Source organism: Homo sapiens, chromosome 20 (genome assembly GCF_000001405.40).
Source record: "Homo sapiens chromosome 20, GRCh38.p14 Primary Assembly".
Taxonomy (NCBI): Eukaryota; Metazoa; Chordata; class Mammalia; order Primates; family Hominidae; genus Homo; species Homo sapiens.
The window spans coordinates 45,199,660-45,212,898 of NC_000020.11; the positions used below are offsets into that span (position 1 = coordinate 45,199,660).

Here is a 13,239-nt window from a genome sequence, read left to right on the forward strand (position 1 = left end):
AAATGCAGTGGCATGAGTTGGTTTCCCTGCTGTGCCAGAATAGAGTCACAGCCAATCCTGGGCTCGAACTCTGCACAGCTGGGGTTGTGGAGTTCAGCCACTATGTGACCTTGGCGTAATGAAGATGGAGCCCAAATGCTGGAGAAGTGTGGTTGTCAGAAGTTCCAGAGGAGGCTACACTCCAGAGGGGGCTCTGTTGTCAAGATGGGACTGTGCTGCGGCAGCTTGGCCCAAGTGGGTGAGTGGGATGTGGGTAGTGCACACCTTGTGCCCCTAATGCAGGGCAATACAGCTGTGTGAATTCCCAGCAGCTCTCCAAACTGGGCTCAGGACTTTAAAGGACTGTGGGATTCTCCTCTTGTAAGGATAGTACATGTTTGCAGTCACAAGGTGACTGGTGGGGACCTTCTCCTTACATTTTCCCTGCAACAGGAAGACCCTCTTGGCTCCAGACAGATCTGATCCGAGTGGAGGGAGACAGGACTGCAAAAACCAGATGCCTCTGCACTGCCCTCCTGAACTTCTAATCACCACGGTTCATCTCCACTCCCCCATGCACTCCAGCACTCTCCCTTTGACACTCCAACCAAATCTTAGCTGTTTGTTACCTTGACCCTTTATTCTGGTGGGGATGAGCACCATGGGTCTCTAGTTATCCATCTTGCTGACTGCCAAATTTTCTATTTCTTCATAGTTAAATCTTGATAGCTTACAGGGGTCTAGGAATTTATCAGTTTCTTCTAGGTTATCTAATTGTTAGTATATAGTTGTTCATGAGTCTCTAATGATCTTTGCATTTCTGTGGTATCAGTTGTAATGTCTCCTTTTTCATCTCTGATTTTATTTAATTGAGTCTTCTTTTTTTTGTTTTACTTAGTCTAGCTAAAAGTTTGGTGATTTTGTTTGTCATTTCCAAAAACCAACTCTTTGTTTTATTGATCTTTTGTATTGTGTTTGTAGTCTCCATTTTTATTATTTCTACTATATCCGTATGATTTCTTTCCTTCTAGTATTATTACAATTAGTTTTCTCTTTTCTTTTTCTTATTACTTGTGGTGCCACATTAGGTTGTTTATTTGAGATTTTTTTTCTTTTTTGTGTAGGCATTTATTGCTGTAACTTTCTGTCTTAGAACTATTTTTACTGTATCTCATAGCCTTTGATACATTGTGTTTCTACTTTAGCTTGTCTCGAAGAAATTTTTATTTCCTTTTTAATTTCTTCTTTGACCAGTTGGTTGTTCAGGAGCATGTAGTTTAATTTCCATGTATTTGTGTATTTTCTGAAGTTCCTTCTTTTATTAATTTCTAGTTTGATAGTAATGTGGTCAGAAAAGATACTTGATATGGTTTCAATCTTCATAAAAATGTTAAGACTTGTTTTGTGGCCTAACATATAATAATCTATTTTGGAGAATATTTCTTGTGCAGTTGAGAAGAACATGTGTTCTGGAGTTGTTTAATAAACTTTTCTGTATACGCCCTTAAAGTCTATTTAGTCTAGAGTGCAGCTTATATCTCACAGGTCTTTGCAGATTTTCTGTCTGGGTGATCTGTCCATTGCTATTACAGGGTTTTGAAATCCTCTAATGATATAGTTTGGATATCCGTCCCCTCCAAATCTCATGTTAAAATGTGACCATCAGTGTTGGAAGTGCAGCCTAGTGTGAGGTGTTTGGGTTATAGGGCTAGATCCCTCATGAATGGCCTGGTGCTATCCCCGCAGTAATGAGTGAGTTCTCACTCTCTTAGTTCACATGAAGACTGCTTGTTTAAAAGACCCTGGCATCTTTCTTTCTCCCTCTCTCACCATGTGATACACTGGCTCCCAATCCCTTCCATCACGATTAAATACTTTATGTGGCATCACCAGAAACTGAGCAGATGCTGGCACCAGGCATCTTAGCCTGCAGAACTTTGAGCCAAACAAACCTCTTTTCTGTATACATTCTCTAGTCTCAGGTATTGTTTTATAGTAATGCTAAATGCCCTAAAACACCTACTATTATTGTATGCAGAGATCTCTCTTCAGAATATTTGCTTTATATCTTTAGGTGCTTGGATTTGGGGTGCATACGTACTTACGATTTCTGTATTATCTTGCTGAATTGACCTCTTTAGCATTATATAATGATCTTCTTTATGTCTTTTTACATTTTTGACTTAAAGTCTATTTGATCTGATATAAGTGTTGCTACTCCTGCTCTCTTTTGGTTTCCACTTGTGTGGAATGTTTTTTCCATCCATTATCGTTCAGTCTATGTGTGTAATTACCAGTATGGTTGCCTCTTTTAGGAAGCCTATTGATGTATCTTATTTTTTTCCCATTCATCCACTCTAGGCATTTAATTAGTGAATTTATTTACCTTCAAGATAATTATTCATAGGTAAGGACTTACTACTGCCACTTTTTCATTGTTTTCTAGTTGCTTTGGTGATTCTTTCTTTCTTTCTTTCTTTCTCTCTTATTGCCTTCCACTATGATTAAGTTAGTTTCTCTAGTAGTATATTTTGATACTTATTTTTTATTTTTAGGGCGTCTATTAAAAATGTTGTCTTTGTGGCTAACATGAGGCCTTTAAAAAAAATCCTGTAGCTATCACAAGTGATTTTAACCTGATAATAATTTGTTTGATTACAAAACATAAAACTACACCTTACCACCACTTCCCTCCCCGCATTTTGATATTTTCATGTCACAATTAACAGCTTTTATGTGCCATATACATTAACAATTTATTGTAGTTATTATTAATTTCAAGTTTTATCTTTTAGCCTTCATACTAAAGATAGAAGTGATTTATACATCACCATTATAGTATCACAGTATTCTGAATTTTGACTGTGTAATTAATTTTATTAGTGAGTTCTACACTTTTAGATTATTTTGTATTACTCATTAGCATCCTTTTCTTTCACCTTGAAGAACTCCTTTAGCATTTCTTGTAAAATAGGTCTGATGGTGACATACTTCCTCACCTTTGTATGTCTAGGAAAGTTTTCATTTCTCTGTCATTTCTGAAGAACAGCTTTGCTGAGTATAGTATGCTTGGATGGTTTTCTTTTTTTTCATTACTTTGATAATATTATTCCACTCTCCTCTGATCTTTAATGTTCCCTTTGAGAAATATGATTTGATTGCAGCACTATTCATACTAGCAAAAACATGGAATCGACTTAGGTGCCCATCAATGGTGGATTGGATAAAGAAAATATGGTGTATATACACCATGGAATACTACACAGTCATAAAAAATAAATAAAATCATGCATTTGCAGCAACATGGATGCAGTGGGAGGCCATTATCCTAAGTAGATTAATGCAGGAAGAGAAAACTATATACCACATGTTCTCAGTTATAGAGGGGAGCTAAATGTCAGATACTCATGAACATAAAGATGGAAATAATACACACTGAAGACTACTAGAGGAGAGAAGGAGGGAGGGAAGGGGACAAGGGTTGAAAAACTAAATGTTGGGTATTATAGTCAGTATCAGAATGACAGGAAAATTCATACCCCGAGCTTCAGCATCATGCAATATACCCAGGTAACAAATTTGCACACTTGGCCCCTGAATGTAAAATAACAGTTGAAAAAGAAAAAAAAGGTCTGATGTGAAGTGTATTGGAACTGTTTTGCATTTTATTTGCTTCTTTTCTTTTGCTGCTTCAGTATCATTTATTTGTCTTTGATCTTTCACAGTTTAATTATTATATGTCTAGTCTTTTTTGAATTGAATGTGATTGGTGACTGTTGACCATCCTGCACTTTGACTACATATATATATATATAATAGACACATACATATATATATAATATATATGTATATATGTATATGTATATATATGGGTGTATATATGTGTGTGTGTGTGTGTGTGTATATATATATATATATATATATATATATATATATATATGAACTCCTCAGATTTGGAAAGTTTTCTGTTATTACTTATTTAATAAGCTTTCTTTACTTTTCCATTTATCTTTCTCTAACTTCTCTTGAATGCCAGTAAATTGTCCCTTTGCTCACTTAATGCTATTCCATACATCTCATAAGTTTCCTTCATTCTATTCTTTTTTCTTTTTTCCTTTTCTGAGTATATATTGTCAAATAACCTGTATTCAAGCTCACAGATTATTCCTTCTGCTTGATCATTTCTGGTGTTAATGCACTCTATTGCACTTTTCACACTTTTCATTTTATTCATTGCATTCTTCAGCTCCTATATTAACATTAGATATTAAATGTTATCATTTTTACCCTTTGTTACATCTCTCTTTCTGGTCACTTATTGTTTTCATCATTTCATTTAATTATTTATCTGTATTTTATTAAAGTTCTTTGAGCTTCCTTAGAACAGCCATTTTAAATTCTCTTTCAGGCAGGTCATACATCTCCATGTCTTTGGGGCCAATCAATGGTATCTTATTTTGTTCATTTGGTACCTTATTTTGTTAATTTGGTGTCATCAGTTTTCCCCGATTGTTCTTGATCCTTGTGATTGTGCATTGATGTCTGCACATTGAAGAAGTAGGTACTTATTGAATTGCAGGTAGGTACTTGAATGCAGATATTGAATTTAAGGTAGGTACTTACTCCAGTTTGGCTTTGTCTGAGAATGTCCCTCAACTCTGTCCGGAAATTCTAGGCAGATCATCTGTTCTAGGTTTGTAAGCCTGTGACTGTTTCAGTCATTGCAGCACAAGGAGATGTCATAAACCCAGGACCACCATGGCCAGTTCTGCACCAGGCTGTAACCCATGGCTGCAGAGGCTGGCACAATGATGGAATGCATTCCCAACTCCTCCTCACTGATACCTGCCTACGTATGTTGGTTATTCATAATCCAAGGCTGCTGTAGTTGGCTGCCAGTGGTACAGGTAAGAACGCAAGTCTATCTCACAGGAACTATGTGTTCCTCTCTGCTGCTGGGGCAGGTCTTGCTGCTTAGGCCACAGGTATTCAAGCAGGGTCACTATGGGTGTCCTCCCAGTGCTGAATTTTACTATTATAGACTAGTATTTTGTTCCGTGAAAAAGTCCAAGCCTTACTTCATTCCCTTCCCCCCAAAAGAAAGTAGCTCTCTCTGCACTGTGCTGCCTGTGATTGGGTTAGGGGTGATACAGGAAACAAAATTGTCTTTCGTGCCCTCTTCAATGTGTATTTTTAATTATTATACTATAATCAGGTTCTGTAATATCTCATCTGGCCTGTTTAGCTTTTGAGAAACTATTATCATATGTGGATAATTATTAAATTCGACGTTTTGGAGGGTATAATCTCTGGGGAGTCCTACTCTACCAGGTTTTTCTGCCCATTCCCCAAAAATAACTATATTTGAATCTTTTCTAAGTTGTAAAGTGATTTCCCATAGAATTGAGCAAAATACATTTAAGTCCTCCTGTTTTCTTCTTTTCCTATGAGTATAAAACTTTCAGATTTTTGTGCCAATTTAGTGCACTTTAATATTTTTGCATTTTTTATTTGTCCAACAGGACAAATCATTTGATCACTTAATCTTTTCCCCCATCATAATTCCATATCTAAGATGTATGCATCACCATACCATTTTTATGCTTTCCAAATCACTGATTTCTGATTTCAACTTTATCAATACATTCCTTTATCATTTGGAAATGTTTTTTTCCACATTTCATTGAATTCAATTCTAATATGAATATAGTAATCACATGTTTTGCTTGGATTGCATTTTCCTGGTTTGTTTTTGCAAATATTGTGCCCTTTTGTTTTATCTGCATCTTTTGGACACTAGATGAGATGAAAGTTTTGTTCTTGATCCATAAGTAAGATTAATATTTCAGACTCTATTTTGTATCAGTAAGTTTGGAACAGAACAGTTTCTGGTATTTTCTTAAGGGAAGTGTGAGGAAGATTACAGTGGTTAGCAGACACAGTAATCAATTTTAGTTCAGAACAATATCACCTTACTCTGTTGGGGTTTCTGCAATAAGGAACTACTTACTGCCTTTGAGGCAAACAGATAAATTTGGTAAGATCTCAGAGTGGCTCATAGAGAAACCATGCAGCTCACATGATTTATGTTTGATAGCATAGCACTTTTTTTCTGTGGTTGGCCTTTCTCTTTTCCCCTTCCATAGAGCATTGCCTACAGGAAGGTTAAGATTCTAAGACAGAATAATTGAAAATAAGTTTTCAAGCTATCCTTTCCCCAGCACTACCCTCCAAGGTGTTCTGAATGTACACAGGGACACTGTTGGGATGCTTTCTTCTTCTCCTGTGGTCTGCTCATAACGAAGTCTTTATGACTCAAAGTAAAGAAAGTTTCTTCAGACTTTTCAGGATGTCATCACAATTGGAAAAATCTATGCTTCTACCAAAGGTGGGAATTTTAGCTTCATGTCCACTCACAATACATTATTCAATTCATTGATGGTGGCAAATATTTCTCACAGCCTGTTTGGGGATTCAGCTGTTTACTACTGAAGTAGAAACTTCTCTTAATTAAAAAGAAAATTCTGCTGTTTAGGTAGATTTCATGAAAAGAACCCAATCTAGAAACCAGCATTTTTACTTTTTTTCCAACAGTTGTTCCTATCACCATGAAAGCATATTAAAATTCTTTCATCCTTTGAAAACACATCTGGAACTTACCTCACCCTCCAGATACAGCCTCAGCTCTCACTCCACCATGAATTCAGACTTCCTGAGAAGGTTGCAGCTGGTCTCCATCCTTCAACTGACAACCCAATGCAATTGTATTCATCTCTCATTAAAGTTACTAGCAACAACTAAGAAAAACTTTGGATACATGTCAGTCTTTATTGTGTTGAACTTGACAGACATATTTGACATTGGAGTGCCCCATTTACTTGTTTAAAATTTCTTTCTTTGGATTCCATAACGTTTCATTATCTTCTATATCATTGGACTTCTATGATTGCTCATTCTTAGGTAAAATAGAACGTGTCTCAAGATCATTTTTAAAACAAAAGGAAGTATGGAGTTCTATCTAAAATAGAGTATTTAAATTATTGCATCATGAAGGGAAACTCACATTTAGAATATAAAGGCATTCTCAGAAACCAATTGCTTTTGTAGCCTGAAGCCAGTCTCTTTCCTACTTTTGTCTATAATTCTGTAAAATTAAAGTGATCTGGCATGATGATCTAAAAGGACTGATAAAAATTTGCTGGGGCTGCCAGAAGAAAGAAAATGCCTTTGACATTATGTTGCTGGGGACATTGACTTTGTCCCACACTCAGCAGGGGTGAGGAAGTTGGCATTTACTGATAAGCTAAGAAAAGTCAGTGCCTTTTGTAATTTAAGCTCCACCCATGGCACACTCACTCAAGGAAGATATAAATGACAAGGTCGGCTCAGCTCTCAGACAAGGTTTTCCAAGCAAGATGAAGCCCAACATCATCTTTGTACTTTCCCTGCTCCTCATCTTGGAGAAGCAAGCAGCTGTGATGGGACAAAAAGGTGAGTGGAGAGGGTAAGCCTTGGGGAAAGCTGCTCAGACAGCTAATAATCTAAGATTATTTGGGGTGCAAACAGTAACCTGTTTAGGCACAGATTCTTCTCTTTGAAGAGAATTGATTTTCTCCACCCAAAGCTTCAGCTTTTCTAGAAATATCAATAATTTGTTGGGGGAAAAGTGGGGGGTAAGAGTTGTAAGGGAGCTTTGGAGATAATGAATGCATACCTTCTTATTATCAATTACCAGGTGGATCAAAAGGCCGATTACCAAGTGAATTTTCCCAATTTCCACACGGACAAAAGGGCCAGCACTATTCTGGACAAAAAGGCAAGCAACAAACTGAATCCAAAGGCAGTTTTTCTATTCAATACACATATCATGTAGATGCCAATGATCATGACCAGTCCCGAAAAAGTCAGCAATATGATTTGAATGCCCTACATAAGACGACAAAATCACAACGACATCTAGGTGGAAGTCAACAACTGCTCCATAATAAACAAGAAGGCAGAGACCATGATAAATCAAAAGGTCATTTTCACAGGGTAGTTATACACCATAAAGGAGGCAAAGCTCATCGTGGGACACAAAATCCTTCTCAAGATCAGGGGAATAGCCCATCTGGAAAGGGAATATCCAGTCAATATTCAAACACAGAAGAAAGGCTGTGGGTTCATGGACTAAGTAAAGAACAAACTTCCGTCTCTGGTGCACAAAAAGGTAGAAAACAAGGCGGATCCCAAAGCAGTTATGTTCTCCAAACTGAAGAGCTAGTAGCTAACAAACAACAACGTGAGACTAAAAATTCTCATCAAAATAAAGGGCATTACCAAAATGTGGTTGAAGTGAGAGAGGAACATTCAAGTAAAGTACAAACCTCACTCTGTCCTGCGCACCAAGACAAACTCCAACATGGATCCAAAGACATTTTTTCTACCCAAGATGAGCTCCTAGTATATAACAAGAATCAACACCAGACAAAAAATCTCAATCAAGATCAACAGCATGGCCGAAAGGCAAATAAAATATCATACCAATCTTCAAGTACAGAAGAAAGACGACTCCACTATGGAGAAAATGGTGTGCAGAAAGATGTATCCCAAAGCAGTATTTATAGCCAAACTGAAGAGAAAGCACAGGGCAAGTCTCAAAAACAGATAACAATTCCCAGTCAAGAGCAAGAGCATAGCCAAAAGGCAAATAAAATATCATACCAATCTTCAAGTACGGAAGAAAGACGACTCCACTATGGAGAAAATGGTGTGCAGAAAGATGTATCCCAACGCAGTATTTATAGCCAAACTGAAAAGCTAGTAGCAGGCAAGTCTCAAATCCAGGCACCAAATCCTAAGCAAGAGCCATGGCATGGTGAAAATGCAAAAGGAGAGTCTGGCCAATCTACAAATAGAGAACAAGACCTACTCAGTCATGAACAAAAAGGCAGACACCAACATGGATCTCATGGGGGATTGGATATTGTAATTATAGAGCAGGAAGATGACAGTGATCGTCATTTGGCACAACATCTTAACAACGACCGAAACCCATTATTTACATAAACCTACCATTCGGTAACCATGTGAAAGGATGGACCAATATCAAGGTAATTTTTTTTTAGCAAATAGGGGAGATATCTCTCTCATTGTTTAGAATTGTTGGGGACTCTCCAGGACTTTTGTGGGATTGATAACCATTGTTCGCACCAATAGAAGTGCTGTATAACAAGTGGTAGGAAGATGAGCCTCCCCATTCCCTGGTGAGGAGAGGGTCTGGTAGTGGCACAGAAGGATGTTTGGCCTATCATGAGGTCCTAGAATTCCTATCCTTAATTGAATATTCTTCAATAATATTTTTTTGTATATGCCTACCTGCTAAAGGTTTTTTTGAACAGGTACTGACTACATATGCATATTTATAAGTTTATGGTATACTCTTGTCAGTTCTTATACTTTAGATTAGTAAACCTCAGTTTCTTTCCTATATAGTATAAAGGATTACAGCCATTAATGTTTTCTTTCTGCACACCAGTGAATGTTCTTGCATCCCTGTTAGGGTTCATCTATGCTCCTTCAGAGACCACAAGCCCAAAGACTATCAGTCCTCCCTCTCAGAATACAGGAAAGAGATATGTAGAAAGATCCTTGTTCATGTTGTGAAAGAGAAGATGGAAAGGGAGACACAAGAGATGGTGAGGGATCTCATGGGCCAATTGGGTGTTTACAACATCAGGAGAAGAAAACTGAAGCCCTGAGAGGGGTAATGGTGCTTCCCTGCCTCTTTGCAGTAAGTAACACTGCACTTGAAGAGAGGGCAAGCAGTAGAAACAGTGGCCCCAGCTGGCAACTAGTGGCCTGGTATCCTAGTAGTAGAGGGCTGGTACAGTTGGAGCTGAAGGGGACAGGGGGCCCAGCTACCATCCCCACCCTTCACTTTTTACTATACTCACATCACTGATTCTCTTCTTTCTCTCTAGGTGTCAGTTGACCTCAGTGAATTCTGTGATGTTTCTGAGATGCAGACTCCCGTGTAGTTTCAGATTCTTGGTCCATGGATGACACCACCTGCCCATGCTTCCTTGAATTAGGCTTTCCTAACCTGAAGCGCCTTCAAACTTCCAATAAAGAGATCATTTTCTGCTTCATCTGCTTTTGACTCCTGTTTTCTCTGGATTCCTAGTGGCTCAAGGGGTTGAGGGCATTTCTAATGTAAGTGGTTTTGAAAGAAAATAAAGGGATATTTTTGAAGCACTAGGGAGAATAGTAATCAAAGCCACATTTCAAGATATATTGATAGAAACCAACACTAAAAATAGGGTGCTGTTAGTCTACCAGTCACATGTCTACCACCTGAGGCCAACACTAAAGGCTTTCATGACCCTGGTACTAATAAGACCCCAGGAACTAAAAATATCCCAGAAAGACAAGAGAAAATGTATTGCAACAGGCCCTGGGAAAGTCCCTGATCTGCTGGTGATCAATTCCACAGTAGCACATCCCTTCAATTAGCTTAAGAATGTCTTACGCCTACAGTATCCATTGAGATGCAATTACACCAAAGGTGATATGTTAAATCTGCACAACTTCAGTAACAGCAAGTGGGTTAAAATGTCACCTGTGGATGGAAAGACCAGATGACCAGTCAAAGGAATCTTGAGGCAGGTGGTGTCTTCATAATGGAAATACTGCTGCCTATACTGCCTTTTCCCCCTCTATTTTAAAAAAGTTTCCAGAGAAATCTAAACCTTCAGGAGAAGAGGCCAACATAGGGGAGTGAGAAAATCACAAGCCTAAGAATAAGAGATTTGGATTGTAGTTCCAATTCTGCCATAATAACCTGTATATCTTTACCTAAATATGTTCTTCCCTGCAAGCTTAAGTCCCACATCTGCAACATGGAAAAGTTTGACACAGCAATCTTCATAGTACATATTGACTCAAAATTGTAGACATTCAAAAGAAAGAAAGAAGAAAGAAAGAAAGAGAGAGAGAGAGAAAGAGAAGAAAGAAAGAAAGGAGAGAGAGAGAGACAGAAAGGAAAGGAAAGGAAAGAGGGAGGGAAGGAGGGAAGGAAGGAAGGAAGGAAGGAAGGAAGTAAGAAGGAAGGAAAAAGAAAGAAAGGAGGTCAATAAGACCTTAAAGACGGTGTCTAATGCTGCAGTAAATTTGGTAGGGCCAGAATAGGTCAGATGGACATGAATGCTTCAGAATGACACAGGCCTACTCGGAGTAGAGATTGGTACTGTTGTCCACCCTCAAAACCATGGATCATATAGGCCCAGAGTTGGGTTAGCCTGGGCCCCACATACAACAACCAAGGAGCCATAAGTTTATTAAGAGTCATGACGTCTTCCAGGAGAAGCAAATCATTCCCTAAGCTAGCCAACAGCTTGAAAGTCAGTAGGTCAGCTTCATCAAAAGAGCCAAAAGAGTAGGTGTAGTTATGTTTGTCCATCACCACAGCCAGGCAGCCGGTTATGTGTGTATTATGAAGTCATAAAATCTACCAAGTATGTCATTGCTAAGAATTAGTATAGATCAGCCAATAAATATGTATGTGGTTGTGCTGTGGGCCCACAGGTACCCATCTCCACTTCTCACACACATGCAGCACACGCATACAGGGCTGAATGGCCCCTGTGCTACAATAGCTTGGTGAGGAAGAAATTGTAGAGAATTAGCAATTGCTTACCATAAATTCTCCTTTTAGTTCTATTTCTTTGGCTGTATGACTCCAGCAAAGCATTTGTTGTTGTTTTCTTTGCCTCATAGGTACAATAAAAGTATTGTTTCCTGATGGAAGAAATAGAAAGAAAGAAGAAAGAAAGAAAAAGAAAGACAGAAGGAAAGAAAGAAAAAGAAAGGAAGAAAGGAAGAAAGAAAGGAAGGAAGGAAGGAAGGGAAAAAGGGAGAAAGAGTGAAAGAGAGAGAGAAGGAGAGAGGGAGAGAGAGTGGGAGGGAAGGGAGGAGGGGAGGAAGGGAGGGAGGGAAGGAAGGGGAGAGAGAAAGAAAGAGAGAAAGAGAGAAAGAAAGAAAGAAGCAAGCAAATAAAGAAGCAAGCAAAGAAAGAAAAAGAAAGAAAGAAAGAAAAGAAAGGAAGGAAGAAAGAAAGAGGAAGGGAGGGAGGGAAGGAAGAAACAAAGGAAGGAAGGAAAGAGAGAGAAGAAAGAAAGAAGGAAAGAAAGAAAGAAAGGAAGGAAGAAAGAAAAAGAAGAAAGAAAGAAGCAAGCAAAGAAAGAAGCAAGCAAAGAAAGAAGCAAGGAGAGAAAGAAAGAAAGGAAGAAAGAGAGGAAGGGAGGGAGGGAGGGAAGGAAGGAGGGAACAAAGGAAGGAAGGAGAGAGAAGAAAGAAAGAAAGAGAGAGAGAGAAAGAAAGAAAGAAAGGAGGGAGGGAGGGAAGGAAGGAAGAAGAAAGAAAGAAAGAAAGAGAGAGAGAGAAAAAGGAAGAAAGAAAGAGAAAGAAAGAAAGAAAGAGAGAGAGAGAAAAAGGAAGAAAGAGAAAGAAAGAAAGAAAGAAAGAAAGAGAAATCTCCATCAGGTCTTAATGTCTTCATGTTGCCTGTAGGTGTGTGATTAGAGACTTTGTCATAGTGGCATGAGAACTCTGTCTCTCTTCACTGCTACCTTCCCAAGAGAATAGAGACCTTGTGCTCAGCCACCTGCTCTATTTTCCCAGCCCAGCAGTTAGAAAGGAGAGGTTATGATGGGCCTAGGAGCCTTAGCATCAGAGAAGCTAGAATTACCTGCTACAGTCTGCTGAACAGATTCTCTCCTCTAAGTATGGACAGAAATACATTACACAGTTTCCCTGACATGTTGCTGATTGCATGGGAGAGGGAAACATAAATTGACATGCAAACAAGCAAAAGAGCCAGAGTCATAAATGCTGTGTGCTGTGGTACAATTAGCACGAACTTTGGTTCCCACCACTTGCATAGTCTTGGGCCACAGGATCTCTGATACTGACCTCCTGCCTCTTAATGAGGGGATATAATAATGATCTCATAAAGATGCTTAGATGTATTGAGTGAGATGATCACAGCCCAAGTGCTCAGGGAAAAGTGCCAGAATGACAACAAATTTGGAAATAATAATAATAAAACAATCTTTTATTATATGTTCTTTGAAATAGAGGTAAAATTCATACAAAGAAATGCACAGATCTTATATCTGTTTGAATGAGATTGACAAACACATACATGTGGTTGCACAACACCTAGATGAGCATATAGAACATTAATCTTGCCTTATGCCCCTTTCAAATTCACTCCAAGCC

The 13,239-nt window shown here is 38.4% G+C and overlaps 1 protein-coding gene across 1 annotated transcript; it reads left to right on the top strand.

Annotated features, from left to right (window-relative positions):
* The first annotated feature begins 7,373 nt into the window (after positions 1 to 7,373).
* On the top strand, positions 7,374 to 10,109 carry SEMG1 (semenogelin 1). Its single transcript, NM_003007.5, has 3 exons — positions 7,374 to 7,470; positions 7,715 to 9,071; positions 9,942 to 10,109. The coding sequence occupies exons 1-2, from the start codon at positions 7,395 to 7,397 to the stop codon at positions 9,025 to 9,027; spliced, it is 1,389 nt and encodes a 462-aa protein (NP_002998.1). The 5' UTR covers positions 7,374 to 7,394; the 3' UTR covers positions 9,028 to 9,071; positions 9,942 to 10,109.
* The last annotated feature ends 3,130 nt before the right edge of the window (positions 10,110 to 13,239 follow it).

Excerpts from the sequence above, each read along its gene's own strand:
- SEMG1 (NM_003007.5), top strand. The coding sequence starts at position 7,395 with ATGAAGCCCAACATCATCTTTGTACTTTCCCTGCTCCTCATCTTGGAG. Across the intron at positions 7,471-7,714 it reads AGCTGTGATGGGACAAAAAG|GTGGATCAAAAGGCCGATTA; the intron begins GTGAGTGGAGAG and ends ATCAATTACCAG.